General features: G+C 34.6%; 1 protein-coding gene across 3 annotated transcripts in view; it reads right to left on the bottom strand.

Moving 5' to 3' along the window:
• MACROD2 (mono-ADP ribosylhydrolase 2) overlaps positions 1-15,769 on the bottom strand; it is a 2,057,682-nt gene that overhangs the window by 1,555,528 nt on the left and 486,385 nt on the right. For all 3 annotated transcript variants that reach the window (NM_001351661.2, NM_001351663.2, NM_080676.6), the window contains exon 4: positions 4,162-4,191. In NM_001351661.2, coding sequence (NP_001338590.1) covers positions 4,162-4,191 — 30 coding nt within the window. The remainder of the gene's footprint in view (positions 1-4,161; positions 4,192-15,769) is intronic.

Below are 15,769 nucleotides of genomic sequence, written 5' to 3'. Positions count from 1 at the left end.
TGTCTAGCATTATCCCTCAAGTGCTTTGACAGACTGGAGGAGGAAGCACATCCCATAAACAACATCCTGCTTGGGTTCTATCAGCAGGTTCTAGTTTTGTGTTAACTATTACGTCAATGAAAAACAAAAGATATTATCTAAAGTAAGAGACCGTAAATTTTGTTCCTATTATATAATGATCCAAAAGGAAGTGAGGAATTAGCTCTTCAGTTCTGATTTTTCTTTCTAATTCTACTTCTTTATGTAATTTAAGACTGGCTACAATGATTTATATTTTACTATATATTCCAAAAGTACCAGCATCACAGGACCTTGTGCATGTACAACATTCTTATTACAGATGGGTGAACATGTATCTGAAATGCAGTGTTTTCTAAGACTGAATCTCAAATGCACAAAAAAGTATATGAATCTGGGCAGCAATCCAAGAGTACTGTAAGACAGTGCCATTGTATCGACTTTCAAGCTATCAGTAGATCTTGAGACTTGTGAAAATAAGCCAAGGAATGCAACATCCGTATCTTAACTGTATGTTTTCCTGTCCTCTCACTTATTTTTCCTGGTGTAAACAGAATTACCCATCTCTGCATAGAAAAGCAAACCTGGAGAGCAGAGGCATGTTAAAAACCACAGTGCCAGGGCAAGGAGCCCTGGAGTGGCAGTCAAGAACGCTGTCTTCTCATTCCAACTTTGCCCTATAAGCTATGCAACTTTGAAGAAGTTTCTCTCAACCATTAAAATAACAACAGGTAAAATAATATACAGGGTACTGTTGGTAATAATAATGGAAAGTTTGTCAAAAAAATTAACGGAACTTCAAAGATTTTTAACATTAATATAAATGCCTCCTGAAAAGTACAATTCAGTCACTATAGACCAGCTATATATTAAGAAATTAGTACATAACTGTCTCTGCCTTCAACCTATCTAGAAACTATGAACAGAAGTGATCAATTTTACCAAGCAAATTGGTAAAATTGGTAAAAGTTATCAAATTTTAACTGAAATGACTGAGTAGAAGTAATCACATCACCTATGCTCACTACAATGAACTGCAGTCAGTGGCAATACATTCATAGAAAGATTGATATCTAGCTCAAAGATGAAAATTCACATCAATGTAAAGTAAATCTCTCACTTTAAAATCAGCACTGAGAGGATGATATGTGACCATTTTTTAAGTCTTTCAGGGGATCAGTCTTATTGGTGGTAAGCACTCAGAAAAGAACAACAAAATGCTAAGATTTTATGGCTAATACAATTTTGCATACAATAATTTTGTCTACATTTCACTATCAGGTACTACTCATATAGAATATGGGGGAAGCCCTCCTGAGGATCTAAAGAAGGGGACTTAGGTCCCATTATTATTTTTGTATGTGGTGTCAAATTTTCTTGATCAAATTGTTTAGTCAATTAAAAAATTATTCTCTTGATGGACCTTTGAAGGGATTTTAATTCATGTTGAAAAAAGGAATTGTTTGATTAAATCCAAGAGAATTACATCAATTCAATCGCTTCTTATTAGATGATTACTAGCTGTTACTTTACAAATATCACTGAGAGGATTAAAAAGATTTGTCATAGAATCATAAGGTCAAAAATCAGCTCAGAGAAGGCTAAAAATATTCCTTAAATTTAATTTTTAAATGCAGCTTTCCAAAAATCAGACACGTGTTTTAGAGCAATCTTGACATCTCCAGAAGTGCATAAATAAATTTAAACCTGTCGATGACCTACTTTAATGAAAGAAATTACAACCATCTTAAATACTTGTAATTTATCTTTATGATGATGCTGAGTTGCTAATTTTATTATTCAAAAATTATAAATCGTGACAAATTGAGCAAAATCAACCATCTAGAGGAAGTCACTAAAATAAAGACTTTAGCTAAATAGAAAACTGAGTTGGCCTATTCCTGAATGTCTTATCATTGCTAGAAATTCATAAATCTTCTCACAGAGAAGAGAGGAATCATAAGAAAATACAAGCCAAATCACTGGAGTCAGTTCTATACACACCAACAATACATACATATATTTAAAGAAATCAGTTTGACAATATAGAGGTAACCACCATGGCAGGTACATTACACTGTTTTCCTCAACCTCCATTCTCCCCTTCCTCCTTAGTGAACAGAACGGTAATTTTTTCTGATGAGTGCATTGCTTCTTGGAATAAAAGACTACATGCTAGGAATGAATACTGTCCAGATTCAAAGACAATGTGGGATTCCAGGGAAATCTGCTTAAAGAAAACTGACTCATGTTTGGGAGCCCACTTTTTTTCATGTTTTGCCTTTCCTATTTCTCCTGACCTGTGCCATATTTGTGATGGCTAGAGCTCCAGCAGCCATCCTGTACCCTGAGGTCATCTAAGTATGAAAGCCATGCACTAGGAAAGAACAGAAAAGTAAGAGCTGAGTCTCTGATTCATCACACAACCATTCCAGCCTGTATCTAGACTACCTTTACATGAGACAGAAATACATTTATATCTCCTTTAAACTACTGTTATTGTGGATTTTAATGTTTTTTACTTTTTCTGTTATAGTGGCTAAAGTGATTTTAACTAATATAATTAGTCAAGTCAATTTTTTGAAATACTCAAAAGCAATAACTGAATCGTCTACCTAATTTGTTGTTTTAAGTTGATGAATGTGTTTACATAGACTCAATTTTAACTTTCCTCTATGCTATTAACAATATTCGTGAGGTTTCTTAAAATACTAATATATCTTGTAAGAAAATCAGCACTATGGACAATTTAACTTAATCATGTTTTCTTCACCTATTACAAGAGACAGAGAGAAAAAATTACTGGAAATTCAACTTCTAAGGAAAATTTTCCCTTCTAGTTCCCCCCAAATAAAATAACAAGTGCAATGAAACATCCTACAAATTCATATTTTCTAAAATAACTTAGGAAAGAAGAAAAGAAATAGACATTTATGAATCCCCCACTGTTCTATTACTTAGTTACTTGGCAAATATTTTTGTTTAATTCTCCCAATAAACACTTTAGATAGTTAATATTATCCTCATACTTTAAAGATGAGGTAACTGAGGCTTGGAGATATTTAGTAATGCTTTCCTGGTCTCCACACAGTAAGTCCAATTTCAAATCCCACACTCATTTCATGATACTCTGGTACAGAACATGCACTGACATGTGATAATACGAAGAGCACTTCCTAGTTCAAACACTTTTCTATTTTTCTTATTTTCAAGATTCTGTTTTTTAAAAATCAACTGTTCTTACAGAGAAACAAAGGTTAAATGCTTAATTTCCAAATAAAAATTACAATGAAACCTCCTGATGAAAGCCTAAGGCTCTGCACAATCCTATCTGTTTCAACTGTGTGTAAGAAAAAAGAAAGAGCAAGAAAGGAAGGGAGAAAGAGAGTGACAGGGAAAGAGGAAACAAACCTAGTTATGTCCATCTGGGCCTTATATGAAAAGGACTCTGTTCTAATCGTATACTTTTTTCTCTCCTACTATATTATATATACTGGGACTATGAAAGCTTTCATCTTCCTAACCTAGAAGTAAAAATACAAATAGTTACAAGATTTTAGTATCAAAAAAATTCCCAGTACAGGAATCTCTGTCTCCCTCAGCTCACTTTGATCTCCTTCTCTTTCTCCTCTAACTGAGCAGAAAGAAAAAGCAGAGTGTCAACAGTAATTTCTTTTTTATTTTTCAAAGTAAGTGGCTGATATATTAAGCTCTCAGGCTACAAAGTCATGAAAAGCAAAAGAAAGTCATTATAGTGGAAAAAGAAACCATAGCCTCCAAATGTTCTGTTGTTTTAGAATTCATATTAAAAGTAACTCTGTAATATGTACATAGTTACTCTGTAACTATGCACACACATGTATTACATGTGTGTTCATATAGCTTATAGCTGTTACACCTTATGCCAAAAGCAGAAATACAAAGTTTGACAAGAGTACTGTATATATCTCGAAGTCAATTAAAATAACATTTAAGCAAACCAAGGTATTTATATTATAAATTATTTTTGAAAGATTAACATTTTTGTAATTGATGACTACAGCAAAATTAATTTTCTTTTAAGTGTCACAGAACTTACTAAATATCTTGTAGTTGGTATAACAATTAAAATGTATTTTAAGTTAAGTGATGTTCAGGACTTACCACCTCCTCCTCCAAGAAGACTGGCATTTGCTGTTTAAAACAAAACACAACAAAAGACATTAAATAATATGTATAAGAAATATAGTATATCAGAGTAATTCAAGATAAAGCTAATAATGATCATATGTCTCATATACATACATAAACACAAAATATTTACTTTCATTTAAAGACAGCCTGTATTACTATTTTATGAGAGTTTGAAAATTAAAATATTTCACTACTTTTATCTTTTTTCTCTTCAAATGGCTATTTTTATAATATATTTCCTTCTAATAAAATTAAGCACAAATTGAGACTGTTTTATTCTCAATTCTGTATCTAAATTAATCTTCTGAGCTCTCCATTTTATCAAGTAGAATAGAACAATATTATTTAGTCAATTTCAATGATTTCAAAGGACGATGTAACAAAAAAGTATTATAGTAATTTAAATTAAGTTAAACACAATGAAACAAAGCTATCACAAAACATTTTGCAGTAAGAAATAACTCTTAAATAATAACAATGTATTACTTTTTCTATTAACTTTTTATTTTGAGGAAAGAAATAAACGTTAAACAATGCTGTGCTATTTCTTACCTATTTATTTATTAACCCCGCACACACATTTATAGGAGCTAAAAAAATATAAAACAATTCCATTTGGATTTCTTTCACAAGGTCAAATTTTTAGGAAGTTCCATTGCAGGTTTCTGCTGAAGTATTAAACAACCTTATGCCTAAATTTATCCAAATATAATAACCAGAAAGCATAATTCAATATACACTATACTGAGCTTTATTCCATAGAGTTCTTAAGTATCACAGGAATTATTTCTTGCCACTGAAAAATAGCCAAGCAGTATTACAGGGAAAGTAGGTAGCAACCAAACTCCCCTTCTTTGTGAAAACTGAGTTACCAAAAGACTAAAAAAATAATTTAGGAAAAAGGAGTAGGAAGTCTTTTACTTGAATTTTAGCATGCTGCCCACAGACCACCCATTTCATAATTTAAGAGGTGCAAATATCATTGTTAATGATTCAATGAGGTTAGATATGTGAGTTCCATGAGGTTAGATATGTGACAGTTTACTGATTGTTGTTACATTAAAGAGAATATCATGAAAATACATAGAGACCAAATGCTATTTACGAGATGTCAATATTAAGAGTGTCAAATTTAGTCTCATATAATCTTCCAAGTATGGGACTGTCTAACTGTTGCTCTTGCTAATTGCCCTCAGTGCTGTTGTCACAAACATGGCCCAAGTAGCAATGTCATTAATCAACCATAAACAAAACTCACTTCTGATGTCATAAGTATCACTCAGGTCTGCAAGTCCCTCTGACTTTACCACATGTAAGTGTGTGATATTTACACAGACGGTAGCCAGAACTTAAGGTCCTGCCCTGAATCCAGCTTTGTAGCTTTTGAAGTGGTAACTTATTGAAGGGGCATGAGGACAGACTTCGAGAATTCTACTTGGTCTCATACCCTTTAGTGGAAAAGAGAAATTTCATGATGAACCCATGTCTGTAGGCTAAACCAAACATTTTCTAAAATCTTAGCTACATGCATTTATAAAACCACATGAAATTTCACACTCCTGCTGATTTTTTATTTTCATATTTGACTGAGAATTACCTCCCTATCTATAGGTTTTCCAGTTCCCTGGGACTCCATCTGTTGTCCTCCAATTTTCACATATTCATTCATAAGGAAAAAGGTATTTTTAACAACCAACAACAATAATAAATAGGAGCTCTTCACTTAAATTACCATGTTCAGTAGCACAATAAGACAATATAGTCTATTTTCATCCAATGTTTTGCTCAATAAAGGTGGAGGTTGCCTGTTTTGAGAGCACAGCCCAAGGCCCATCTGTTTAACCAGGCACTTGTCCAATAGATGTGGGTGGATGGGTAGGTGTAAGAATTGGAATTCCAGTTCTGGCCAATCATCAAGTTAGTTTATGTCAACTGTGTGTTCATGTATTTTACATAAGCATATCCAGTAATATTTTAACTTCGCTATAGAACTATTTTACAAAATTGTGATATTCTACATAGTACACAATCACTTTTAAGGTAATTCCATGTGTATTACTATCCATGTAATAGAATCTTAATTTAAACTGTTTGATCATATTCAAAAACGTTCCGATAACTATAAATCCAATAATGATTTTTCCAAAGAATCCATCAAATTTGTCTATTTTATCCATTTCTATTCTCTAAAAAATAACAAAAAAGTTAACTTTACTAGTAAAAATGTCAAGGCACTTTTCTTCAGCAAAAGTGACATAAAAATACGCAAGTAAAGGTGAAACTTTATTGTTATTTGTAGTTATTACTTTACCTCCACAAAGCACTCCAATAACTGGTTATCCAACATTCATTAGTCAGGTAGCTTCACGTTACTTCTTCCATTTTACAGAAGTGAAATGACTTTTGTGTGTCTAAAATTAATAATAATTTAGTTTCTACTTCATTATCTCCAATAGATTGAGATATATCCTAATTAGATGGAAGCTTCTTAAAGGCAAGGTCTGAGTTCAATGGTTTGGCCTGCATCTAATAAATTTTCAAGACATGTTTTATAATAGTGAGATAATTGGTAGGTTTAGTCAATTTCTTCATTAATACAAGAGGGATTTGTTTACTGAAGTTTGTGAAGAAAGCAAACTTTGACCCTTTTTCTTCCTATAAAATCAAAGATTACTTAAGAAACTCTTAAAGCTTATTTGGAAATGCTTAGTAAGAATGCCTAAAATATATTTATGTCCCTATCTAAATTTCTTCCTAGAGGGAATTTTGGACATGCTTCCTATTAATCCTTGAGTTTCACAGAAAAAGGAAAAGAAGAAAAGGAACAAAGAAAACTTGAAGTTCATGAACATGATGCCACTATTTTTAAAACAAGATTTAAAAATCTCTTCTCTGAGCATGCTTATGAAGCAAGACTATTTTACTTCACATTTCCCTGAAATAAAATGTCTCTTTTATTACCAGTGGAGGGAAGGAAAAAATCAAGTTACAGTAATTGTCTCAAAGATTGATTCAATGCAAAACTAAAATGAGTCATTACAAGATAATGAATCTGTGTATTGCACTTTTTCTTCCCCCTAAAATAACTTCACGCAAGGAGATGGAGTTTTACTGTTTACAAAGTGAAAACAACATGAACACAAAATGAAGAAAAGGGTTATCTGAAGCTAATTTGATAGTGTCAAATATGGAGAATTGATTTCCAATACCCTAAACAAGTGGTTACATTTTTAAAGTTTATAAGAATTTTTTCTTTCATTTGAACCTAGTTTCAAATTTTTTAATTAAAAGTATCAAATTTCTATAGCTATAAATACTCACTATTAAAGTATTAAAACCAAAAAAAGTGAATACAATATAGGAATCCCTTTCCTGGAATAATTAGCCTAAATGAAAAATGATCACGGCAGTTTTCAATAACACATTAATTTATGTTTTTCTCAAAATACAAATGAAAAATGCTGGGAGAGGTAACTTATGTCAACCATGAGCCGGGAGGCTGAGGCAGGAGAGTCACTTGAACCTGGGAGGCAGAGGTGGCAGTGAGCCGAGATTGTGCCACTGCACTCCAGCCTGGACAACAGAGCAAGACTCTGTCTTTTAAAAAAAAAAAAAAAAGAAGTATTTCAAATATTTTTTTTCTTTTTGCCCAGTAATTTTTATTATCTCCACAGTAATTGTTTGTTTTTCCACTCCATTTCTACCCCACCCAAGACTATCTGTCAAACACACAAGAGTCTGGGAAACCAGTCTTTAAACATTGATTAAAACTATTCGTACAGAGTTTTGTTTGCTTTTCATCATTATAAAGGAAATTATACTTGTTTTCATCCTAACAGAATCCTGACCACCTAGTTTAGTTTATTTATTCTGCTTTCTTATTACAATAGAGCACATGGGATATCAAAAGGACTGTTGGCAAAAACTTCCCCAGGAGCTCTATTTAAAACACCAATTTCATTCACAACATGTTATCCCCAAAGATACAAAAGCTGAAATACCACCTTTCAGAATGGCATACATTATATTCCCTAGAGTTTGAAGCTCTTTAAGTAGGAAGTGCTAAAAAATCTGATAAATTAAAATCCCAAGCACATGCATGATTCTAGAACCACTTTATATAGGAAGCAACCATCTCACCTGACAGCTGTGAAAATACAATCTACGCAGACAAATACAGCTATCAATCTGGCAACAGGCCTCTGTCTATGCTTTACTAGATTTACACCTCCCAAACAAAATCAACAGAATGGTGGAGATTTTGGGCAATGGTGTAATTTCCTGCTTTGAAGCTGACGAAGCGAGAAAATTAAGAATAGGCTTAACGGATTCACATGTAGAAACCAGGCATAAACACATGATTAATACTTTACAGTTCATGCTACTACAGAATTTGAAGAAAAGACTGATTATTCCAGTATCTGTGTTGTTTGTACAAGCTGTCATTCACTATGAAGCCAAAAATAGAATACAATGACCCCTACTACTAATAAATAGGTGAAAAGGCATCAGAGATTGGAAGTCTTACTTGGGATGATTCACATATAAAACAAAACAGAATTACTGTTGTTAAAGTACAAGGGAGGAGCTACAGCTGGTCCTGGTTTGCCTTACTAGGTACTCAGTGACTTCTAGGAATATCGTAGCATGGGCAAAAAAAACTCTAAAAGCTAAACAAATAAACAAACAAACAAAAACCCCACTTATTTGGTCCAACCCCTTTATTTTACAAAAGTAGAAAGCTAAAGAGGATCAAAGATGTTGTTAACTCACTTGTCTAGGATCAGACCCAGAAGAACCCACCATACAATATGTCAACTTAGATGTTTAATAGTAACTTCCTCTTAACAAATTATAAATATATGTATGTGTCTCTGTGTGTGTATTGCAGCCCTCCCACTCCCCAAAATTGCATCCAAAGGTGGTTATAGAAAACAACATGCATGGAGCCTACTGAATGTTGCTTTACCCAAGATTGCCTAACTTAATTGTTAAAGGGTGAACTAAAGCATTAGCAGGCAATTCCTACAGTTCTATTATGCAATGCATCTAATGCAAAATGAGAGAAATCAGAATGTGCTACATACCAGTCACCCTTTATGACACTATACTGTAGATCAATTGTAATTTTGATAATGATAATACTGGCTCAGTTACAAAAATGAGATTACTTCAGTAACCCAATCTGGGGCTTTCCCAAGAGTGAACAAGCATATCTGAATAGGGAAAAAATTAGTTGAAATGTTTATTAGTTTTATGGTTATAATTATACAAGACACTTGAACAGCAGTTTTAACTTGTCTTTGACAAGAAAGGTTTTGAATAAATACAAATAAATTTTCAATTTAAGAAATGAAAGATATGCTTATTTGAGAGAATGTGATACGCTTTTAGCCTGATTAAAACATAAGCCTCAACATGTACCCATATATCCACATTTTTGGGGGAGCTGGCTGATTTGTTTCAATAAAACCAGAAAGCACCTTTAAAAATATTATCTTACCTAGTTCCAGTATTTCATATTTCTTATAATATTATAGTATCCTCAATTCTCTAAAATAATGAACTAGCAAGTGAGATTTTTAAAAAGGTTTATTACAATTTTTATATTACACTTTTATTTAAACAAATAGGCCAAAAAATAATTCTCAGTCTTAATAAAGATATAGGAAGACTGAGATGCAAATGACCTCAAATGAAAAGGACTTGGGGCTAGTGGAAATCCATACGATGAATCCCCTGAGAATTCTTATTAAGCTGTAAAATCCATGAAGGCAGAGGCCATATTCATTGATATCAATGGTACAATGCATGATTCCTGACACAGTAGGTACTGAATAAATACTTGTTAAATATATAACTAAGGGAATGAATGGAAGATAAGGGAATGAGAGAGAGGGGAAGGGGAAAGCCATATTTCTGGGACAGGTGAGAGACCTCTGATAATAGATAATGACTCCTTTACCATCTTGCAGCCAAGTGAGGCTGTGCCACGATGTAGCCAAGCAGACCTAGCTCCAATTCCAGACTCTATCATTGACCTTGAGAAAGTTCCTTAAACTCCAAATTAAACTCTTGGAGTTTCTGTTTCTTAAAGAGTAATCACTTTTACTCCTCTCAGCAAACCTGACATGTGCCAGGCTCCATGGCATACATTCATGTGACCATATTGGTCACAGTACAGGTTTGCTGAGAGGAGTAAAAGTGATAACTTACATGAATGTATGTCATGGAGCCTGGCACATGCCAAGGGTCAGTAAATGTCAGCTTCCCATTCCATGACCTGATTTACAGTGTCATTCCTTGGAAACAAGCTAGGACTTAACAGAAAACCTCCACTATTTCAGACCAAGTCCAAAGTCTGGCGTTTTGTGGGTCTGGGGCCATGTTCATCTTTAGGAATAGTTTTCTGTCCCCACTCTGAGATGTTCACTGCTATGCCCTCATGGGAGTTTAAGGAAGAACTTAGGACTTATGTACAGAAGAGGGTGAGGAACAATGCCATCTTCAGATTTTCTTTTTTAATTTTGTGTTTGGGCTTAGGTCAATTAAAAAATAATTATGTAAGCCCATAAAGTAAATGGATATCAATATTTTGCATATTATCTATGTTTTCCTCTTCTGGGTTATTTTGATTATTTAATTCAAAAAGAATATTGGGGCTGGGCATGGTGTCTCATACCTATAATCCCAGCACTTTGGGAGGCCAAGGTGGGCAGATCACCTGAGGCCAGGAGTTTGAGACCACCCTGGCTAACATGGTGAAACCCCGTCTCTACTAAAAATACAAAAATTAGCCTTGTGTGGTGGCACACGCCTGTAATCCCAGCTACTCAGGAGGCTGAGGCATGAGATTGTTTGAACCCAGGAGGTGGAGGTTGCGGTGGGCCGAGATCACGCCACTGCACTCCAGCCTGGGCGACAAGAATGAAACTCTGTCTCAAAAAAAAAAAATAAAATAAAAAGTTGGCTATTTTATGCCAGATAGCTCCTGTTTACTCCTCAAAACCCATTCTCTATACTTGCCCTTGTTCTCTGCCCAAGGCTGCTGATCTAGGTACTTGACATCAAAAGGCTCTCTCTTAACATCTGTCTCTAGTTGGGTTCAGTCAGTGGGGAGCCCTGGCAGATGACAGGAGAGATTAGAATGCATTCAACATTTTCTTCCCTGGTTCACTTCCTGTAAGCTTACCGTGAATGGACTATGTCCCTTGAAAGAAGGTCACCATTCTAATCAAGGTTCTTTACAACATGACTTTTTCTGGGTTCTGACATCCTCCCCCTCTCCTTGTCTCTTTGTGCCTCAAGTGGCAACAGCTGTGCTGTTGGTGGCCCCTGGTCCATGAAAAACTCCTTGAGTTTCTCCTACACTACACCTGGCTCCAGCTCTTGAATTATCGTAATTTGACTGCATCATCTGTTTCCCGCTGGGACCTGATTGAACAGGTATGTTTTAAACAGACTGGTCACTGATGATGGCTAGCCTAAATCTCACATTCCTTCAGAGGCTAACTCTCTTAGTGCAGATGGTCATAAGGATGGCCCCTGTTCTTCTGTTTCCATTTGAAGAATGATCAATATAGCAGAGTGTTTACTTTGTTAATGAAAAAACATAAAACATGTAAGTATAATAAATTATATTTATATAAAATATAAAATAATACATACTCATTTGAACATGTTAAAGAATCAAGTATATTAAACAAACTCAACTCCTCTTATCTACCATTCCCTTCCATACTTTTCTCCATGGTCTTTTTTTTTTTTTTTTTTTTTTGAGACGGAGTCTTGCTCTGTTGCCCAGGCTGGAGTGCAAGTGGCACGATCTCGGCTCACTGCAAGCTCCGCCTCCTGGGTTCACGTCATTCTCCTGCCTCAGCCTCCCAAGTAGCTGGGACTACAGGTGCCTGCCACCACGCCCGGCTAATTTTTTGTATTTTTAGTAGAGACGGGGTTTCACCGTGTTAGCCAGGATGATCCTGATTTCCCGACCTCGTGATTCGCCCGCCTCAGCCTCCCAAAGTGCTGGGATTACAGGCGTGAGCCACCACGCCTGGCCTCCATGTTCTTATAAATATATGCAAATAGTTAAGGCTTCTGAGGTTATGACAAAAATAAATTTGCCACGCAACATAAATTTCTCTTTTATCAATATACCATGACTCTAACTAATGAAATAATATGTAACGCCCTATGAGATTCCAAAGTTTGAGTAAAACTACTCCCATTACTGATGGGCACTTACATTGTTTCCAGTTTTGCTGTTAGAGATAATGTTCTAGTAAAAATTTGTGTGTTTGTGTGTGTGTGTCTGTGTATGTGTGTGTGTATCCACATACTGGGGCTTCTATAAAATAAGTTCTTTAAAAAGGGGATCCTTATATACTGTTGGTGGGAATGTAAATTGTACAACCACTAGGGAAAACAGTTTAGAGATTTCACAAAAAAAAACAAAAACAGAGCTACCATATGATCCAGCAACCCCACTCCTACATTATACCCAAAAGATAGCAATCACACCCCTAGGTATACCCCAAAGAAAGAAAATCAGTATTTCAAAGAGATATCTGCACTTTTGTATTTGTTGCAGCACTATTCACAATAGCCAAGATTTGGAAGCAACCTAAGCATCCATCAACAGATGAATGGATAAAGAAAACATGGTACAGCTACACAATGGAGTAGTATTCCGTCAGAATAAAGAATGAGAATCTGTTATTTGCAACAACAAGGATGGAACTGGAGATCATTATGTTAAGGGAAATAAGCCAGGCACAGAAAGACAAATTTTGCATGTTCTCACTTATTTGTGGGAGCTAAAAATTAAAATAATTGAACTCATGGACATGGAGAAAAGAAGGGTGGTTACCAGACACTGGAAAGGGTATTCGAGGGGTGGAGAGGAAGTGGGGATAGTTAATGGGTAAAAACAATAGAAAGAATGAGTAAGAACTAATATTTGATAGCACAACAGGGTGACTATAGTAAATAATAATTTAGTTGTATATTTAAAAATAACTAAAAGAGTATAATTAGATTGTTTGTAACACAAAGGCTAAATGTTTGAGGTGATGGATACCCCATTTACCCTGATGGGATTATTACACACTGCATGCCTGTATCAAATAATCTCATGTACTTCTATATATATACACACACATCTACTATGTACCCACAAAAATTAAAAATTAAAAAAAAATTCTCCAAAGTATTATGGGTAAAAGGACATATGTACTTTTAAAATTTAAGAGTTTAATAACTATTTTAAAATGCATATTAAAATATGTTTATTAAAATAAGTCAAAATTAGCTGAAATTTAGCATGCATAAGTATAGCTTGGAGAACACCTAAATCATCAGTATTATTCTATGTTTGTAAATAATCTGAATCAAATGTTTTGGTATGTTAGATGAGATTTCAGTTCAATGGGGTGCTTCTGATGTAAATGTAAACTACATCAATGAAACATTTTCACCTATACATGAAAAGATATTTAGTTTCAATTTCTGACAGATATCAAATATATAAACTTTTTAATGGTCTTCTTTTAATGTAAAAATAGTAAAACTATCTCAACTAAAGGTAAGTCTCTTTAACCACTTTCTTTTCATGTTTGTTAGACACAAAGCATGACAGGTCTTGAACTTAAATGCAAAGGAAAAACTTGGCTAGAAAAGATTAGAGTAAGAAATTTTCCACTACTTTCTAATTAAATTTCTTGAAAATTTAAAGTATACTTTAGAAGCTTAAGGTTTAAAAACTTGAGAAGATAGGCTGGGCATGGTGGCTCCCACCTGTAATCTCAGCACTTTGGGAGGCCAAGGCGGGTGGATCACCTGAGGTCGGGAGTTCGAGACCAGTGTGACCAACATGGAGAAACCCTGTCTCTACTAAAAATACAAAATAAGCCAGGCGTGGCGGCACATGCCTGTAATCCCAGCTACTAGGGAGGCTGAGGCAGGAGAATCGCTTGAACCTGGGAGGTGGAGGTTGCGGTGAGCCAAGATCGCCCCATTGCACTCCAGCCTGGGCAACAGGAGCGAAACTCCGTCTCAAAAAAAAATAAAAATAAAAATAAAAAACTTGAGAAGATATTAACTTACTAGAAAGATATGGAAAATCTATCAAAAAACCCACAAAGATAGGTAAGAATACTTCAGCTCAATAAGAATTTCAAGGCTAAATATCATGTCCCCATGATAATTCTAAGCTTTCTGCTTCCATTCATCTAAAACCAACCATTAAGACGCTTCATGTATGCCAAACATTGTACTAGGCACCCACTGCTTTTGTACAAGTGTAATGGAAGGCTAAAGAGAAATGGAATGCAATGGCTAAAAGTAATCACCAGATAATTACTCAAATTTACATTTATACCCCGAATCCTAACTAAAAAATAACATAGCTTACATTTATCATTTTTGTTAGATGCCAGGCGTATTACTAGCTAATTCAGTCCCCCAAAGAAGCTAATGAAGTAGGTACCATTTTCTATTTCCACTTTATATGTTAAAAAATTGGAACACGGAGAGGTTAAGTAACATGTTCGAGACCAAAGGCTGGCACCAGTATTTGAAGCCATGTAATGTTACTAGAAAGTTCACACTCTTAAGCACCTCCCATAAGAGAAGCCAAGTTCCATACCCTCCAACCCACAAAAAAGTCAGAGTAAGGAATGAAGTGGAAATTATATAATCCCTGTTTCTGTATTTCTCTTTTTTAAACTACTGTAGCATATGAAGACTTTCTCTAGTAGTGCCAGTTCTACTTACAATAAATTAATGAAAATTCAATGGAACGTATGTTTCCTTTTCTTCTTTTTCCAATCTACACACATCATTTTAAAGCAATATTCTTCTTCCAGTTTGTTAAAGTCTTGTTACACATCTAAAGTATGCTGGCTCATGCAGAAGCTGACCTGGCTCTGCATTCACCCTAATGCAATGCTTGGATCATCAAGAAATTTGAACTAACTTCTTGCACAAATCTAACTCATGACGTGGCCAGCTTATAGAGAAAGGAATAAAGTGTAAGTAATATAGTAAGGAATATAGAGTAAGGAATAAAGTGGAAATTATATAATCCCTGTTTCTGTATTTCTCTTTTTTAAACTACTGTAGTATATGAAGACTTTCTCTAGTAGTGCCAATTCTACTTACAATAAATTAATGAAAATTCAATGGAACATATGTTTCCATTTCTTCTTTTTCCAATCTGGACACATCATTTTAAAGCAATATTCTTCTTCCAGTTTGTTAAAGTCTTGTTACACATCTAAAGTATGCTGGCTCATGCAGAAGCTGACCTGGCTCTGCATTCACCCTAACGCAATGCTTGGATCATCAAGAAGTTCGAACTAACTTCTTGCACAAATCTAACTCATGACGTGACCAGCTTATAAAAATCATAAAATGAGCTCTTGTATGATTCATTTCCATTAGAAAGTTATGCTCTGAATCACCAAGCCAGTGGACCAGCTGATACATACTTTAGTAAGCTTATCAAGGTAGAAAATATGCCCAAAATAACAACCAAATAATGGAATATACAAATAGATCCTGAAGACAATTTTCTAAG

The sequence above is a fragment of the Homo sapiens genome, chromosome 20 (assembly GCF_000001405.40).
Source record: "Homo sapiens chromosome 20, GRCh38.p14 Primary Assembly".
Lineage (NCBI taxonomy): Eukaryota > Metazoa > Chordata > Mammalia > Primates > Hominidae > Homo > Homo sapiens.
This window is presented reverse-complemented; position numbering and strand designations above follow the sequence as displayed.